General features: G+C 41.3%; 1 pseudogene; it reads right to left on the bottom strand.

Moving 5' to 3' along the window:
* Positions 7,010-7,594, bottom strand: CYCSP26 (CYCS pseudogene 26; annotated as a pseudogene).

Raw genomic sequence — 20,715 nt, 5'->3', positions numbered from 1 at the left:
TAATTTCTTCCAACTGCAGTAAGATCTTTACTGCGCTTTAAGTGCCCCCCTACCTTGAACAACTTCTCCACTGCATTATTATTGTTTTTTAAGTTATAATTCTTAGGCTCTAATCATTAATTAAGATTTCCAACACTTTTCATCAATCTCTGTGTTCACTAGAACAACTCCACTGTTTTGGAGGTGAGAGAGAAGTTTGCTTCTTGTATTCCACATCTTCTGCAGGCTTCTGTTTCTGAAACAAATTTTAATAGTCTTATAGTCTTATACTGTGTAGTGACAAATCTTTTAGTATTTGTATGTCTAAAGATGATTTTATTTAACCCTCTTTCTTGAATAATAGTTTAGCTGATGGCAAAATTCTAGGTTGACAGCTTTTTCCTTCAGTATTTCAAAGTGAATATTCCATTATCTTCTAATATATGTTATTATGATAAGAAGTGTGCTGTCAGTCTGTCATTCCCCTGCTGTACCTCCTCTCGCATAGTTTTCATTTTTCTACACTCTGTATTGCATTCTCAGTGAGTTCTTATATTCTTCCTTCCAATTCTCTAATTATTTATTTTCCTGTGTCTGATGTTGAGTTCATCCCATTCATTATGTATTTTAAAACTTATTTATTTATTTATTTATTTATTTGAGATGGAGTCTTGCTCTGTCACCCAGGTTGAAGCGTAGTGGTGCGATCTCGGCTCACTGCAATGTCCACCTCCCAGGTTCAAGCAATTCTCCTGCCTCAGCCTCCAGAGACGCTGGGACTACAGGCGTACATGCCACCATGCCCAGCTAATTTTTTTGCATTTTTAGTAAGAGGTGGGGTTTCACCATGTTGGCCAGGCTGGTCTCAAACTCCTGACCTCAAGTGATCTGCCCGCCTCAGCCTCCCAAAGTGCTAGGATTACAGGCATGAGGCATCGCGCCCAGCCTAATTTTCAATAAGGAGTACATTCATATGGTTCAAAGCCAAAGGTTAAACAGGGTAAACAATGAAAAGTTCAACTTTTCTTCTTGCCACCCAGTTTCTCTTCTCGAAGGCAAACAATGTTATCAATTATGTTTATTTTTTCTGATAGCTTTTCTGATTCTTTTATTCTATGCATATATGTGAAAATGGATGCACATTTTCACACACAGAGAGACACACACCCAAGAAGTTTTTTCTTCCTTTTATACACACATGTGGCATACTCTGCATACTTTTCTTCATCTTGCTTTTGTTCATTTGACAAAATATTCACATCAATACATAATGAGCCTCATCATCTACTAAAAGCCTTCATACTGTCCCATTGAATGGATGAACATTAATTATTACTTCACAAGTCCCTTGTAAAAGTTGTTTCCACTGTTTTGTTATTAATTCTGTATTAAATGACCTTATATACATAATTTTGAAAATGTGAGGTTTTGTCTGTACAATATATCCCTACAAGTAAAATTATTGTTTCTAAACACATGCATTTAAAATTGTGGGCATTTGAAGGTAATTTATAGATTCAATGCCATCCCCATCAAGATACCAATGACTTTCTTCACAGAATTGGAAAAAACTACTTTAAAGTTCATATGGAACCAAAAAAGAGCCTGCATCGCCAAGTCAATCCTAAGCCAAAAGAACAAAGCTGGAGGCATCACGCTACCTGACTTCAAACTATACTACAAGGCTACAGTCACCAAAACAGCATGGTACTGGTACCAAAACAGAGATATAGATCAATGGAACAGAACAGAGCCCTCAGAAATAACGCCGCATATCTACAACTATCTGATCTTTGACAAACCTGAGAAAAACAAGAAATGGGGAAAGGATTCCCTATTTAATAAATGGTGCTGGGAAAACTGGCTAGCCATGTGCAGAAAGCTGAAACTGGATCCCTTCCTTACACCTTATACAAAAATTAATTCAAGATGGATTAAAGACTTAAATATTAGACCTAAAACCATAAAAACCCTAGAAGAAAACCTAGGCATTACCATTCAGGACATCGGCATGGGCAAGGACTTCATGTCTAAAACACCAAAAGCAATGGCAACAAAAGCCAAAATTGACAAATGGGATCTAATTAAACTAAAGGGCTTCTGCACAGCAAAAGAAACTACCATCAGACTGAACAGGCAACCTACAGAATGGGAGAAAAGTTTTGCAAGCTACTCATCTGACAAAGGGCTAATATCCAGAATCTACAATGAACTCAAACAAACTTACAAGAAAAAAACAAACAACCCCATCAAAAAGTGGGCAAAGGACATGAACAGACACTTCTCAAAAGAAGACATTTATGCAGCCAAAAAACACATGAAAAAATGCTCACCATCACTGGCCATCAGAGAAATGCAAATCAAAACCACAATGAGATACCATCTCACACCAGTTAGAATGGCAATCATTAAAAAGTCAGGAAACAACAGGTGCTGGAGAGGATGTGGAGAAATAGGAACACTTTTACACTGTTGGTGGGACTGTAAACTAGTTCAACCATTGTGGAAGTCAGTGTGGCGATTCCTCAGGGATCTAGAACTAGAAATAGCATTTGACCCAGCCATCCCATTACTGGGTATATACCCAAAGGACTACAAATCATGCTGCTATAAAGACACATGCACACATATGTTTATCGCGGCACTATTCACAATAGCAAAGACTTGGAACCAACCCAAATGTCCAACAATGATAGACTGGATTAAGAAAATGTGGCACATATATACCATGGAATAGTATGCAGCCATAAAAAATGACGAGTTCATGTCCTTTGTAGGGACATGGATGAAATTGGAAATCATCATTCTCAGTAAACTATCGCAAGAACAAAAACCAAACACCACATATTCTCACTCATAGGTGGGAATTGAACAATAAGAACACAGGGACACAGGAAGGGGAACATCACACTCTGGGGACTGTTGTGGGGTGGGGGGAGGGGTGAGGGATAGCATTAGGAGATATACCTAATGCTAAATGACGAGTTAATGGGTGCAGCACACCAGCATGGCACATGTATACATATGTAACTAACCTGCACAGTGTGCACATGTACCCTAAAACTTAAAGTATAATAAAAATTAAAAAAATAAAAATAAAAATAAAATAAAATAAAATAAAATTGTGGGCATTTGAATTAAATTTTTAGAAAAACTTTTATTGTATTCAATTTTTGAATAAGTAATACATGCATACAGTACAAAATTCAAAAGGAACAAAAGTGTAAATATCAGATTATTATACTGTATATCCTTCTAGAGTTATTGCATGTATATATGGGCATATCTGTATATACAGGAATATTTCTTTGATTAAGATCAGTTAATGTTTTCTTCTGCATTGGAGCCTATGGAAATCAGATGGCTCTCTCCTTCTGATGAAGGCTTTCTCCTTGCTGATGATTAAAAAAAGACACATCAAACTTTAGTATAATCATTCACATTAAGGCATATGTTTTATTGTCTTATTATTCTGTCTCAGCCATAAAGCCTCATCATTGTGGATACTGTCAGTAAAAGTAATGGTTCCTTCAGTTTTCACAATGCCTTTCAGCTCACTCTGGAACAACACAGATAAAAACTGCATTCTGCTTGGACAAAAAGTTTCAAACTTGCCCTAATATGAACTACTTTTTATTCTTCGTACATAGCGATTCCCCTCAGACCTACCCTTAGATTCTTCATCACCATCATTTTAGAGGTTGCCTTCACCTCTCTTCTGGATTAGATCTCATGTTTCCTGTATCCCATTTATTTCCCTTTCTTGGTTTACTATTTCATATTTGTGGAGCATATTCTTCCGTAGAGATTTTGATTGTTTTTTTGAGTTTTAGAAAATTTATACTTTATTGATAGGCTGTCTAAATGTAGAATTCTATTCTTCCCATTTATAATGTAAAAGGAATTGCTCCACTGTCTTCTGTGTTCTTGTTGGAATACAGAAGCCATTCTGATTCCTCGTCCTCTGAATATGTGTTGGTGGTGGTGGTGGTGTTGTCCTCTAAAAGCTGTTAGCATCTTCTCTTTATCCCTAGGTTCTGAAATTCCACAAGGATATGCCTTGGTGTAGGTCTATTATCATCCATTTTACTGGGCATTTGCTAACCCCTTTCAATATCCAAAATCCATGTGTTTTAATCTGGGAAATTTTCTTGAATTATTTTATTAATTTTTTGCCATGTACTTTTTCTGTTCTTTTCCTCTAGAACTTCGTGTTGTTCATATGTTAAATTTCCTGGACTGATCCTCCAATTTTCTTGTGTCTCTCTCTTATTTTCCTCTCTATATATTTTTGTTCTAATTTTTAGGTAAATTCCTCAACTTTGACTTCCAGCACTTTGACTGAATTTTTTCATTTCTGCCATCATGTTTTCAATTTCCAAATGTTATTTTTTTAAAAGATTATCTGAATTTTTAACATTCCGTCTGCTTCATAAATACAATATCTTGGTCGGGCGCAATAGCTCAGGCATGTAATCTCTTAGAACTTTGGGAGACTGAGGTGGGCAGATCGCTTGAGTTCAGGAGTTCAAGACCACCCTGGGCAACATGGCAAAACACCATCTCTACCAAAAAAAAAAAAAAAAAAAAAAACAATTAGCCAGGCCTGGTGGCACTTGCCTGTAGTCCCAGCTACTCAGGGCCTTTTACTCCAGGTCTAGAGGTTTCTAGAAGTGCTAGTTCATGAAACTTAGAGGACTCTCAGCATTAACTGGATTTTTCTCAGCTTTCTGAGACTGTAATAACTTAAGATCTGGCTTTCTCAGTTCTACTAATCAGTTACCACTCTTCCATCTCCTTTCCAGATTCCAAAATACTGTTACCATTGTCTCTTCACCTATTATCCCCATTCTTGTTGGTTTGTTCATCCCTTTATTGTAGTTCTACTATGCATTTGAATGATAGTGAAATTAAGCACAGGTAGCCAAACAGCCATTCTAACTCAAGGCTCCACATTTTTTTATTTCAATGACTATATTTTTTAATGTTCAGATTTTCTAATTGGTCCTTTTCATATCTCCTCATTCTGTTTTCAGCCTCTTTTTTCAAAATTTTTTATTTTTCAATGGAAGTTTTGATTTCATTTATTTATTTGAAATAATCAATACATTTACTTTAAAGTTTTATCTGATCATTCTGTAAAATTAATTTTATCTGAAGTGAATCCATGTTGATTGTTCGTTTGTTGACTTTTTTTTTTTTTTTTTTTTTTTTTTTTTTGAGACGGAGTCTCGCTCTTATCACCCAGGGCTGGAGTGCAATGGTGAGATCTCGGCTCGCTGCAACCTCCACCTCATCGGTTCAAGTGATTCTCCTGCCTCAGGCTCCCGAGTAGCCGGGATTACAGGCGCCCGCCACCATGCCTGGCTAATTTTTTTATTTAGTAGAGGCGGGGTTTCGCCATGTTGGCCAGGCTGTTTTGAACTCCTGGCCTCAAGTGATTCGCCCGCCTCGGCCTCCTAAAGTGCTGGGATTACAGGCGTGAGCCACCGAGCCCAGAGAGTTTGTTGACTTTTTTTTAGCATTAGCTTTTTTCCTTCAGTTTTGTATTTAGTTTATAGTCCCATTTGGAATTTGAAGTATTTTGCTCTTTTCGTTTTGTTTTTCATTCCCTCTCACTCCCCCTACTCCACCTCCATATTCAATTATCCTGTTGAAAGCTTTGGGGGTCTCCAATCCAGGTTCAGTTCTGGTAAGGGCAGTGAGAGGAACAGTCCTGCAGAACCACTGGGCCATGGCAATCCCAGGATGAGTCACAGGGGAAGCTCAACTCAGTTCTTGGTCACAAGGCTTTGTCTCATCCTTCTCTCCCAGTCTAGAGCTGGATGGAAGCCACTGCTCCTTCAGCACTTGGCACATGTTCATTTCCAGCCTCCTTCTATAAGGATAGGAGATGAGACATGAAACTCACCTTAGCCCTGGGCCTCCGTGGCTGAGAACCTGCCTCTGCTTTCCCATCTCTCAGGGAACACTTTTGACTCCTTTGCCACCACTGACTGCCACTGCATCCAAAACCCAGCAAGTCCACCAAGCCTTGCAGCCCTGATCACAGTTTGTGTTTCTGTGCCAGCCTGGATCTTCAAAAGCGCTTGTCTTGTAGTTGGGCCTGACTATGCCACCTTCTGTTTTCTCTTTTTACTTTATTCAGTAGGCCTATGTTTCTAGAGTGGAGGCAGTTCTTGAACTTACTACTCCATCTTGATCTGGCTCTCAGTAGGTTTTTTTGTTTTTTGTTTTTTTGATCTGTGATTTTGTTTTTAATTATCTTAAGTCTTATGATCACACATAATTTTTAAATTTGTGTATATCTCCTCTACTCTAATCCTTATAAGTTGGCAAAAGCACTATTCCCAATCACAAATACACAGTAGTTCTACAGTTTTATGTTCCTGGATGGCTGTTTAAAGACAATCTTAAATTATAATGTAGTCTGACTTAGATAGTAAGAATTCAAGAGTGAAGTTTAACTTGCTACTATTTTAAAGACATCTGACTTTATAGATCATCTATAAAATGTGAGAAGAGTTAAATAATCTTCATTTGATATTACACATAAACCACACTAAAATGTGTTTCAATAAGTAAAAGGAACCATTTTAAATACAGTGAATTCTAATTAGATTGGCATAGTTAAGGCCAAAAATATAAAAAAGACATTGCTATATTATCTTCAGCCCTTGCCTTTAAGAGACAAATGAGGCCAGGTGCAGTGGCTCACATCTGTAATCTCAGCACTTTGGGAGGCCAAGGCAGGCAGATCACTTGAGGTTAATACCAGCCTGGCCAACAGGTTTGATACCAGGTTTCATACCAGCCTGGCCAACATGGTGAAACCCTGTCTCTACTAAAAATACAAAAATTAGCCGGGCGTGGTGGCAGACACCTGTAATCCCAGCTACTCAGGAGACTGAGGCAAGAGAATCACTTAAACCCGGGAGGTAGAGGTTGCAGTGAGCCAAGATCATGCCATCGCACTCCAGCCTGGGCAGCAAGAGCAAAATTCCATCTCAAAAAAAAAAACAAAACAAACAAAATTCAAAAAACCCAAACATATTAATTTAACCACAAGACAATCTTAGTTTTAAATCAGGACTGCCCAATGAAAATGTTTTTTCAGTCATTCATGATCTGAATTCTGGTGTATGTAATCTATTAAATTATGGTACACATAAAAAAGTCATGAGACATTTCTGTTTTGTAATAAATGAGGCAGTGATGTATTATTACTCATAGTAGCTTTTTTTTTATATAAGCTATCAAATCTGCCCTTTCTGCCTTCTTTCTGCCTTCTTAATGCCAGCAAAGATCATTTTTGTTCCAGATATCTACTTCTTGGGATTCTCCAAATATTTCATCAGTGCATCCTCTCTCCAGGTGATGCCTTTGTTCTTATTGGCGTCTGTGTTAACAGAATCCAACAGCCTGATCTGTCTTTCACATGAAGAGACCATGGAGATTAGTCCCAGTCTTGTGTTTGCCTCCCTTTTCCATGGTGTGGCAGTGGGCACACTTCTGAACAAAAATCTTGCCTTTCTCAACATCACCCATATTTAATTTTCTCTTTCATTGCTGGCATTACGGAGCTTCCTACTCAGAAGCCGGATGTCCCGCTCTCCTCAGTAGGTATTCCTGAAGTTAGATCATTGAAGTGTGTAGACCTCAACCATGCTCATAATGTTGATGCCCAAAGTGGCCAGGCCAGGTCAGCAGTGGTATGAATGCACCTTAGGCTTAATGTTGTCTCTGTCTATTGCATATTACTGAAGCACCAGGCATCTAAGAGGCAGTCAAGGCTAAATATTAACCAAATCTAATTCTGAACATTCAGAATTCAAATACTAATAGAGTGAAATTGAATAAAATTGAAATAAATATTTGATGTTAATTCACCTTAGAAAAAATCCACTTCTGAGACACAACTGCAGAGCTTCACAGTGTTGTAGTAAGGGTTAAACGAATGGTGCGTGTAAGGCGCTTAGTACACTGTTCAGCACGTATTAAGTCTGCTAGCATACACTTGGTACTAGAATGCACTACAAAGGGGCCAGAGGAGTCAGTGGGTAGAGAGGTCTTTAGCGGATCAACAGGAAGGGAGAAACAAAGGGGAACAGGAAATGACTCTCCAGCCGACAGGGGGAAGGATTAAAAACAGAAAGATGATTATCACCAGTGAAATGATGTTTCCCTCCCTACCAGCAACCTTCACCCTGTACACAATAAGCAAAGAATTATCAACATAAATCCACAGGCTGTGTAAATCCAGAGAAGCTACAAGAAAGACAACATAGCTCCCAGACCCTCTGGAATGTACTGGAACCTTCTGTGAGGTCTGAGAGTCATCTTTGTTGTTCATACCTTTGTGTCTAGCACATAGTGAGCATTCAATAATTGTTGAATGAATGAATACATTAAAGGTTCTCAGAAAGGAGTTTCCATAGCAGATTCCAATACCAGCACCTGTGTGAATAAATGTATACTGTGGGTACAGAGAGGTAGCAAATCAGCAAAAAGAATATCCTCTCCACTTCCAGGATTTGGTACCATTAGAGTGCAAAAAGGGAAGAACCAAACCAAATAAATGAATGACCAACATTGACCATGGGGAGCATTCAGGGACATATCTTCAAAACAGGAAAATGGTGACATCTGGACTAAAAAGTATCTCAGCTGGGAATGGTGGCTCACACCTATAATCCCAGCATTTTGGAACGCCTAGGCAGGTGGGTCAGTTGAGCCCAGGAGTTTGAGACCAGCCTGGGCAATATAGTGAGACCCCATCTCTACCAAAAAAAAAAAAAAAATAGTAGCCCTCTCTCCAGATGTAAAGCATCACTCATTAAATGTGGTGGGGTGTGTGTGTGTGTGTGAGAGAGATATTATGTTCCCTGTCAATTAAACATGTTAATTCAATTGTATGGTAAGAGTGTTTGACTCAATTCCAGCTATTACCAGAAGTACTAGAATAGGAGAATATGACAACCAGGAACAGCCCTTAAAACCAATTGTGAGGGAATTCAGAAATAAGTTGCATAGATTACAGGGCTATCTGTGCAAACTCCATGTATTCAGAATGTAGCTGGTTTCCTGATTCTGAGGTTCCATAGAAGTGAATGGCTGAGATGACAAATCCTACTTGTTATACATGTGTCATTGGAGATGTCACTTCCCCTACTCTAGTCCTCACATTCCCTATATCTACATAGTGAAACCATGTCTATCAGGAATATTCTGACTGCAAATAGAAAACTCAACTCAAGCTCAATCAAGCATTCTCATTGATGGGTGAGTATGACTGAAGAATTCTAACATGTAAACAAGACTCCTAAGGTCAATTTTTTCTCCTTCCCCCTGCTCTGTCCACCCCTATGTGGGCTTCACTCTCAACAAGCCCTCTCCTCTTGGTGGCAGAGTGACTGTTACCAGCTCTGGACTTAAATTTTCATTTGTATAAGTCCAGTGGAAAAAAGGGCACACTTCTCCCACAGTAGTAGTGGGAGTAGTGGGAGTCCTGAGATGGCATCTCACTGCTTCCAAAGGGGGCAGATGCACTATCCTAAGTCTCGACCACTGTGGCTGGAGAGATAGGGTGGTCTTATTCCCTTCGTCTGACATGCATGCCCAACCCCAGAGCCAAGGAAGTTTGCAGAGACAATAGGAGGTTGGACCAGATGACCTCATATTCAAGAACTTCATGTTTTGTTTCACTTTAATATCATCCTCATTTCCTTCCTCCTGCCTTAGGCATTCTTCCTGCACAGGTGCTGCTGAAAGTTTCCAATAATCCAAGTACTAAGACAAAAATGTTCCATAAAAGAGGAGGAAATGCAGCACCCCAGCCACACACCCACATGTAAACACAATTTTTTGATGTATGTTAAAGAAGAATGTTGACCACCCCCCGCCCTTCTCCACACCTTCTTACATTCCCCGCCTCTGCTACCCCAAGATACTTATATTTCCATGGAAAAGACAGGATAGATGCTCCATCCTCCCAGAATATCTCTGCCTCTACCTCACTCCTGCATTTATTCTACCTCATGGCAGGTAGGTGAAGGGGGTGGGTGCTCTGAGAATGCATGTCTCAGCCCCCTCTGGTTATCTTTTCTCAATGTTTTCCCTAGGAATTTTTTTTCTCCCTGTTCTTCTCTCTGCCTTTGCTTGAAAGATGCCTGCAGTGTTGAATGGATGCTCTCAATCAGGGGCTGAGGATTAGAAAGCCTGCTGTCGCCTATAGGACCTCTCTTTCTGCCTAATCTCTCTTGCTTCCTCCCCTACCACTTCTCTCTGACTCTAACCAGATAAATTTCTCTGCTTCTAAAGACTCTAGAGATTATATTGAGCCCACCTAGATAATCCAAGACAATCTCTCTATCTTGAGTTCTATAACCTTAATTACATCTGCAAAGCACTTTTTGCCATGGAAAGTAACAGATTCATTGGATCTAAGAATTCAATGGAGGACCACTATTCAGCCTTACACAATGCCTAAAGAAGCAAGATTCTAAAGCAAAGTAGATGATCCAGCAAGTAGAGAGCAGACAGCCCATCCGGTACCTCCCAAACACCCTCTTAAGCATTTCTTCCTCACAGAAACTTAGGGGCATTTCAGGGATGCTTTCTGATCATGACCCTAAAGGGACCTTCTTAGAAAACTGAAATTCAGACCCTACCTGTGCTTGGCCAGGTGTGGTGGCTCATGCCTGTAATTCCAGCACTTTGGCAGGCTGAGGTGGGTGGATCACTTAAGGTCAGGAGCTCGAGACCAGCCTGGCCAACATGGCAAAACCCCGTCTGTACTAAAAATACAAAAATTAGACAGGCATGGTGGCAGGCGCCTGTAATGGCAGCTACTCAGGAGGCTGAGGCATGAGAATCACTTGAACCTGAGAGGAAGAGTTTGCAGTGAGCTGAGATCCGGCCACTGCATGCCAGCCTGGGTGACACAGCGAGACTGTATCTCAAAAAAAAAAAAAGGACCCACCTGCAATTCAAGATAGAGAATCAGTGAACTGAGAGTCAGGCTTCTCAGGCCAGTGAACCAGCAGCATTTTGTTTTCTTACCAGTAAGAAGCAGTAAGAGACAGGTCCAGCCTAGAAGAGCACACATCCTTACATGGCTCAATACTCAGAAATAGGAACAGGAAGAAGAGTGGACTCCCATCCTAACCCTCAAAACCACCCTGCAAGGTAAGAACTATTATATCCACTTTCAAATGAAGACATCAAGCAGGGAAACGTTAAGAAACTTGCTCAGAATCACGCAGCTAATTAATGGCATGGCTATGACTTGAACCTAGGTCAGACTTCAAGCCCACTCCCTCTCCACTATTGCTAACACTCAACACTTACATGTTTACTGCAATTTCCAACTCAGTTATAACCCCGAAAGATATAAAATGGGCCAGGAATTTGCTTTAATTTTAGAATTAGAGGAGCTTGAATTGCCACTTACTCCAGGGCACCAATGACAATAAAGCTCTGTGGTTCAGGAAAACAGGAGGATGAGCTGCCTCCAGGCAGAAGGCTGCAGAGCGGGCATGCTTTTGAGGTGGTGGCATAGCATCAGAGAGTTCAGAGCAATGGTCTAGAGGCACAGGGATGAGGGCTGGGTGGGATTCACTGATCTCAATACTTGCAGAGGTCAAAGCAGGATATGAATTGTCAGATGATGTCACAGCAGCCCCATCTCATTGTGTGTGGGATTGGAGAACCAAGGAGTGTATGCCCCAGCTTCAGCCTCTGTTTTCTCACTTGGAGAAGTCACATGATATCTGTCCTAGTCAGCTTACAGAAGACCTGATCTTCCAATTTATAACTACGTTTATTTACATGCAACAAATACTGCCAGCACGTCTTCTGCAGACAGGTACTAGATAAGGTAAAGGATATCAAGTTTGATTTTCTGACCTGATATTCATCAGAAAACAGTGAGGAACTGGCCCCATAGCAACTGATGATAACAAATCCTCAATACCCTTAAATCAGGGTGTGACTGTTAATTTTACGTATCAGCTTGACTGGGCTATGGGGTGCCCAGATATTTGTTCAAATGTTATTCCGGTTATGTCTGTGAGTGTTTCAGAAGAAATTAACATTTAAGGCTGGGCACGGTGAGTTAGGCCTGTAATCCGAGGAATTTGTGAGGCCTAGGCAGGCAGATCACTTAAGGTCAGGAGTTCAAGGCCAGCCTAGCCAACATGGTGAAACCCCATCTCTACTAAAAATACAAAAAAAGTAGCCAGGCATGGTGATGCATGCCTGTGGTCCCAGCTACTCAAGAGGCTGAGGTGGGAGGGTCACTTGAACCCAGGAGGTGGAGAATTTCAGTGAGCCGAGATCACGCCATCGCACTCCAGCCCGGGTGACAAAGGGAGATTCTGTCTCAAAAAAAAAAAAATGAAAAAGAAATTAACATTTAAACCAGTAGACTGAGTAAAGCAGTCTGTCTTCTATAATGTGAATGGTCCTCATCCAATCAGTTGGAGGCCTGAATAAAACAAAAAGCTGACCATCCCTCAAATAAGAGGTAATTTCTGCTGACTGATGGCCTTCAAGCTGACAAATGGATTTTTCCTGATTTCATACTCAAACTGAAACATCAGCTCTTCCTGGCTCTCAAGCCTACTGGCCTTCAAGCTGAAACTACATTATCCTTTTCCCGGGTCTCCAGTTTGCCCACTGCAGATGTTGGGGCTTGTCAGCCTCCGTAATTGCATGAGCCAATTCCTTATAAGAAGTATTTTTCTGGGGGAGGAGCCAAGATGGCCGAATAGGAACAGCTCCAGTCTACAGCTCCTAGCGTGAGCGACGCAGAAGATGGGTGATTTCTGCATTTCCATCTGAGGTACCGGGTTCATCTCACTAGGGAGTGCCAGACAGTGGGCGCAGGTCAGTGGGTGTGCACACCGTGCGTCAGCCAAAGCAGGGCGAGGCATTGCCTCACTTGGGAAGCGCAAGGGGTCAGGGAGTTCCCTTTCTGAGTCAAAGAAAGGGGTGACGGACGGCACCTGGAAAATTGGGTCACTCCCACCCGAATACTGTGCTTTTCTGATGGGCTTAAAAAACGGCGCACCACAAGATTATATCCCGCACCTGGCTCGGAGGCTCCTACGCCCACGGAGTCTCGCTGATTGCTAGCACAGCAGTCTGAGATCAAACTGCAAGGCGGCAGTGAGGCTGGGGGAGGGGCGTCCGCCATTGCCCAGGCTTGATTAGGTAAACAAAGCAGCCGGGAAGCTCGAACTGGGTGGACCCCACCACAGCTGAAGGAGGCCTGCCTGCCTCTGTAGGCTCCACCTCTGGGGGCAGGGCACAGACAAACAAAAAGACAGCAGTAACCTCTGCAGACTTAAATGTCCCTGTCTGACAGCTTTGAAGAGAGCAGTGGTTCTCCCAGCATGCAGCTGGAGATCTGAGAACGGGCAGACTGCCTCCTCAAGTGGGTCCCTGACCCCTGACCCCCGAGCAGCCTAACTGGGAGGCACCCCCCAGCAGGGGCACACTGACACCTCACACGGCAGGGTATTCCAACAGACCTGCAACTGAGGGTCCTGTCTGTTAGAAGGAAAACTAACAAACAGAAAGGACATCCACACCAAAAACCCATCTGTACATCACCATCATCAAAGACCAAAAGTAGATAAAACCACAAAGATGGGGAAAAAAGAGAACAGAAAAACTGGAACCTCTAAAAAGTAGAGCGCCTCCCCTCCTCCAAAGGAACGCAGTTCCTCACCAGCAATGGAACAAAGCTGGATGGAGAATGACTGACAAGCTGAGAGAAGAAGGCTTCAGATGATCAAATTACTCTGAGCTACGGGAGGACATTCAAACCAAAGGCAAAGAAGTTGAAAACTTTGAAAAAAAATTTAGAAGAATATATAACTAGAATAACCAATACAGAGAAGTGCTTAAAGGAGCTGATGGAGCTGAAAACCAAGGCTCGAGAACTACGTGAAGAATGCAGAAGCCTCAGGAGCCAATGCGATCAAGTGGAAGAAAGGGTATCAGCAATGGAAGATGAAATGAATGAAATGAAGTGAGAAGGGAAGTTTAGAGAAAAAAGAATAAAAAGAAATGAGCAAAGCCTCCAAGAAATATGGAACTATGTGAAAAGACCAAATCTACGTCTGATTGGTGTACCTGAAAGTGATGGGGAGAATGGAACCAAGTTGGAAAACACCCGGCAGGATATTATCCAGGAGAACTTCCCCAATCTAGCAAGGCAGGCCAATGTTCAGATTCAGGAAATACAGAGAACACCACAAAGATACTCCTCGAGAATAGCAACTCCAAGACACATAATTGTCAGATTCACCAAAGTTGAAATGAAGGAAAAAATGTTAAGGGCAGCCAGATAGAAAGGTCGGGTTACCCTCAAAGGGAAGCCCATCAGACTAACAGCAGATCTCTCGGCAGAAACCCTACAAGCCAGAAGAGAGTGGGGGCCAATATTCAACATTCTTAAAGAAAAGAATTTTCAAACCAGAATTTCATATCCAGCCAAACTAAGCTTCATAAGCGAAGGAGAAATAAAATACATTATAGACAAGCAAATGCTGAGAGATTTTGTCACCACCAGGCCTGCCTTACAAGAGCTCCTGAAGGAAGCGCTAAACATGGAAAGGAACAACCAGTACCAGCCGCTGCAAAATCATGCCAAAATGTAAAGACCATCGAGACTAGGAAGAAACTGCATCAACTAACGAGCAAACTAACCAGCTAACATCATAATGACAGGATCAAATTCACACATAACAATATTAACTTTAAATGTAAATGGACTAAATGCTCCAATTAAAAGACACAGACTGGCAAATTGGATAGAGTCAAGACCCATCAGTGTGCTGTATTCAGGAAACCCATCTCATGTGCAGAGACACCCATAGGCTCAAAATAAAAGGATGGAGGAAGATCTACCAAGCCAATGGAAAACAAAAAAAGGCAGGGGTTGCAATCCTAGTCTCTGATAAAACAGACTAAACCAACAAAGATCAAAAGAGACAAAGAAGGCCATTACATAATGGTAAAGGGATCAATTCAACAAGAAGAGCTAACTATCCTAAATATATATGCACCCAATACAGGAGCACCCAGATTCATAAAGCAAGTCCTGAGTGACCTACAAAGAGACTTAGACTCCCACACATTAATAATGGGAGACTTTAACACCCCACTGTCAACATTAGACAGATCAACGAGACAGAAGGTCAACAAGGATACCCAGGAATAGAACTCAGCTCTGCACCAAGCGGACCTAATAGACATCTACAGAACTCTCCACCCCAAATCAACAGAATATACATTTTTTTCAGCACCACACCACACCTATTCCAAAATTGACCACATACTTGGAAGTAAAGCTCTCCTCAGCAAATGTAAAAGAACAGAAATTATAACAAACTATCTCTCAGACCACAGTGCAATCAAACTAGAACTCAGGATTAAGAATCTCACTCAAAACCGCTCAACTACATGGAAACTGAACAACCTGCTCCTGAATGACTACTGGGTACATAACGAAATGAAGGCAGAAATAAAGATGTTCTTTGAAACCAATGAGAACAAAGACACAACATACCAGAATCTCTGGGATGCATTCAGAGCAGTGTGTAGAGGGAAATTTATAGCACTAAATGCCCACAAGAGAAAGCAGGAAAGATCCAAAATTGACACCCTAACATCACAATTAAAAGAACTAGAAAAGCAAGAGCAAACACATTCAAAAGCTAGCAGAAGGCAAGAAATAACTAAAATCAGAGCAGAACTGAAGGAAATAGAGGCACAAAAAACCCTTCAAAAATTAATGAATCCAGGAGCTGGTTTTTTGAAAGAATCAACAAAATTGACAGACCGCTAGCAAGACTAATAAAGAAAAAAAGAGAGAAGAATCAAATAGATGCAATAAAAAATGACAAAGGGGATACCACCACTGATCCCACAGAAATACAAACTACCATCAGAGAATACTACAAACACCTCTACGCAAATAAACTAGAAAATCTAGAAGAAATGGATAAATTCCTCGACACATATACTCTCCCAAGACTAAGCCAGGAAGAAGTTGAATCTCTGAATAGACCAATAACAGGAGCTGAAATTGTGGCACTAATCAATAGCTTACCAACCAAAAAGAGTCCAGGACCAGATGGATTCACAGCCGAATTCTACCAGAGGTACAAGGAGGAACTGATACCATTCCTTCTGAAACTATTCCAATCAATAGAAAAAGAGGGAATCCTCCCTAACTCATTTTATGAGGCCAGCATCATTCTGATACCAAAGCCAGGCAGAGACACAACAAAAAAAGAGAATTTTAGACGAATATCCTTGATGAACATTGATGCAAAAATCCTCAATAAAATACTGGCAAAACGAATCCAGCAGCACATCCAAAAGCTTATCCACCATGATCAAGTGGGCTTCATCCCTGGGATGCAAGGCTGGTTCAATATACACAAATCAATAAATGTAATCCAGCATATAAACAGAGCCAAAGACAAAAACCACATGATTATCTCAATAGATGCAGAAAAAGCCTTTGACAAAATTCAACAACCCTTCATGCTAAAAACTCTCAATAAATTAGGTATTGATGGGACGTATTTCAAAATAATAAGAGCTATCTATGACAAACCCACAGCCAATATCATACTGAATGGGCAAAAACTGGAAGCATTCCCTTTGAAAACTAGCACAAGACAGGGATGCCCTCTCTCACCACTCCTATTCAACATAGTGTTGGAAGTTCTGGCCAGGGCAATTAGGCAGGAGAAGGAAATAAAGGGTATTCAATTAGGAAAAGAGGAAGTCAAATTGTCCCTGTTTGCAGACGACATGATTGTATATCTAGAAAACCCCATCGTCTCAGCCCAAAATCTCCTTAAGCTGATAAGCAACTTCAGCAAAGTCTCAGGATACAAAATCAATGTACAAAAATCACAAGCATTCTTATACACCAACAACAGACAAACAGAGAGCCAAATCATGAGTGAACTCCCATTCACAATTGCTTCAAAGAGAATAAAATACCTAGGAATCCAACTTACAAGGGATGTGAAGGACCTCTTCAAGGAGAACTACAAACCACTGCTCAAGGAAATAAAAGAGGATACAAACAAATGGAAGAACATTCCATGCTCATGGGTAGGAAGAATCAGTATCGTGAAAATGGCCATACTGCCCAAGGTAATTTACAGATTCAATGCCATCCCCATCAAGCTACCAATGACTTTCTTCACAGAATTGGAAAAAACTACTTTAAAGTTCATATGGAAACAAAAAAGAGCCCGCATCGCCAAGTCAATCCTAAGCCAAAAGAACAAAGCTGGAGGCATCACACTACCTGACTTCAAACTATACTACAAGGCTACAGTCACCAAAACAGCATGGTACTGGTACCAAAACAGAGATATAGATCAATGGAACAGAACAGAGCCCTCAGAAATAACACCGCATATCTACAACTATCTGATCTTTGACAAACCTGAGAAAAACAAGAAATAGAGAAAGGATTCCCTATTTAATAAATGGTGCTGGGAAAACTGGCTAGCCATATGTAGAAAGCTGAAACTGGATCCCTTCCTTACACCTTATACAAAAATCAATTCAAGATGGATTAAAGACTTAAACGTTAGACCTAAAACCATAAAAACCCTGGAAGAAAACCTAGGCATTACCATTCAGGACATAGGCGTGGGCAAGGACTTCATGTCTAAAACACCAAAAGCAATGGCAACAAAAGCCAAAATTGATAAATGGGATCTAATTAAACTAAAGAGCTCTGCACAGCAAAAGAAACTACCATCAGAGTGAACAGGCAACCTACAAAATGGGAGAAAATTTTCGCAACCTACTCATCTGACAAAGGGCTAACATCCAGAATCTACAATAAACTCAAACAAATTTACAAGAAAAAAACAAACAACCCCATCAAAAAGTGGGCGAAGGACATGAACAGACACTTCTCAAAAGAAGACATTTATGCAGCCAAAAAACACATGAAAAAATGCTCACCATCACTGGCCATCAGAGAAATGCAAATCAAAACCACAATGAGATACCATCTCACACCAGTTAGAATGGCAATCATTAAAAAGTCAGGAAACAACAGGTGCTGGAGAGGATGTGGAGAAATAGGAACACTTTTACACTGTTGGTGGGACTGTAAACTAGTTCAACCATTGTGGAAGTCAGTGTGGCGATTCCTTAGGGATCTAGAACTGGAAATACCATTTGACCCAGCCATCCCATTACTGGGTATATACCCAAAGGACTGTAAATCATGCTGCTATAAAGACACATGCACACGTATGTTTATTGCGGCATTATTCACAATAGCAAAGACTTGGAACCAACCCAAATGTCCAACAATGACAGACTGGATTAAGAAAATGTGGCACATATACACCATGGAATACTATGCAGCCATAAAAAATGATGAGTTCATGTCCTTTGTAGGGACATGGATGAAATTGGAAATCATCATTCTCAGTAAACTATCACAAGAACAAAAAACCAAACACTGCATATTCTCACTCATAGGTGGGAATTGAACAATGAGATCACATGGACACAGGAAGGGGAATATCACACTCTGGGGACTGTTGTGGGGTGGGGGGAGGAGGGAGGGATAGCATTGGGAGATATACCTAATGCTAGATGACGAGTTAGTGGGTGGAGCGCACCAGCATGGCACATGTATACATACGTAACTAACCTGCACAATGTGCACATGTACCCTAAAACTTAAAGTATAATAAAAAAAAAAAAAAGAAGTATTTTTCTACATACATATGTATCTCATTGGTTCTGTTTCTCTGGAAAACCCTGACTAATACACAGGGCATGGCTCAAAGTGGGACAAGAGGACATCACAGCCAACAAAGGAAAGAATCTTTCTTTATCGAGCACCGACTTTGTGCATTTTGCACACATTGTGTCACTTAAACTCACAATATCTCATTAAAGTAGTACTATGATTCTTTAGAAATAAAGAAGCTTAATCTTTGAGAGGTTAAATAACTTGTATATTCAAGGTCCTATAGCTAATAAGTGGAAGAGGTAAGAATTGATCCAGATCTGTATGGTGGCTTATTCGTTCTGCTATGGGGTGAATAATGGGGTTTGGTCATTCCAAAGCCCAAACAAGGGAGGCCCCGGCTCACAGGATCCCGGGACCTTTTCCCTAACAAGATGCAAACAGATCATCCCATTCAAAATCCCACATTGCATTATGTTTTAGAGAAGAGACTTGGGGTTCAAAAGGCCTCTCATAGAAGCTCATGATAGACCAGAGAGGAAGCAGAGAGAAGGATTCCCAGGCTAAAACTTGGAAAGGGTGTTGTTATTTATTAGCAATTTCTGCTAAGGAGTTCAAGTGAGATAACAGTTCATAAGTAACATACATTGCCATCCCCTGAAGAGGTCATCCAAATTTTCCATTTTGAGACCAAGAGACAGAAGGAACACCAAAATTACACTTTTGTAAGCCTAGAGACTTCCAGGAAGCAAGACTTTAATTGTGCTTTTATATCTGATATTGGAGGGAGAAAGAAGGAATCAGGAAGAACTTCATAAATAAAGCAGCAATCAGAATAAATCTTGAAGGAGGGTAGGCATCATGGTGTTGTTTTATTAAAAAGAAAAAAAATTAAAATCAGAATAAACCTGGTTCCAAAACTCACATACATCTCTTACTAACTGTTCAATGCAGAGACTTTAATTTATTGCATTCCAATATCTAGCACAGTGTCTGGCAGATAATAAATGCTCTTTAACAGTATGTAGAATGGGGGTGTCTGGCAAGATGGCCAAATAGGAACAGCTCTGGTCTGCAGCTCCCAGTGAGACCAATGCAGAAGGCAGGTGACACCGGCATTTCCAGCTGAGGTACTCAGTTCATCTCACCGGGACTGGTTAGACAGTGGGTGCAGCCCACAGAGGGTGAGCAGAAGCAGGGTGGGGCATCATCTCACCTGGGAAGTGCAAGGGGCTGGGGACCTCCCTCCCCTAGCCAAGGGAAGCTGTGAGATACTGTGCTATCTGGCCAAGATACTACACTTATCCCATGGTTTTTGCAACCTGCAGACCAGGAGATTCCCTCATGTGCCTACACCACCAGGGCCTTAGGTTTCAAACACAAAACTGGGCAGCTGTTTGGACAGACACTGAGCTAGCTGCAGTTTTCTTTCATACCACAGTGGCACCTGGAACCCCAGAAAGACAGAACTGTTCACTCCCCTGGAAAGGGGGCTGAAGCCAGGGAGCCAAGTAGTCTTGCTCAGCGGGTCCCACTCCCATGGAGCCCAGCAAGCTAAAAACCACTGACTTGAAATTCTCGCTGCCAGCACAGCAGTCTGAAGTCAACCTGGGACAATCGAGCTTGGTGGGAGGAGGGGAATCCACCATTACTGAGGCTTGAGTAGGTGGTTTTCCCTTCACAGTGTTAAGAAAGCTGGAGGGAAGTTCGGACTGTGTGGAACTCACTGCAGCATGGCAAAAAGGCTGTGGCCAGACTGCCTCTCTAGATTCCTCCTCAGTGGGCAGGGCATTTCTGAAGGAAAAGCAGCAGCCCCAATCAGGGGCTTATAGATGAAACTCCCATCTCCCTGGGATAGAACCCCTGGGGGGAGGAGCAGCTCTGGGCGCAGCTTCAGCAGATTTAAACTTTCCTGCCTGCAGGCTCTGAAGAGAGCAGTGGATCTCCTAGCACAGTGCTCGAGCTCTGCTAAGGGA

This window comes from Homo sapiens, chromosome 11 (assembly GCF_000001405.40).
Source record: "Homo sapiens chromosome 11, GRCh38.p14 Primary Assembly".
Lineage (NCBI taxonomy): Eukaryota > Metazoa > Chordata > Mammalia > Primates > Hominidae > Homo > Homo sapiens.
This window is presented reverse-complemented; position numbering and strand designations above follow the sequence as displayed.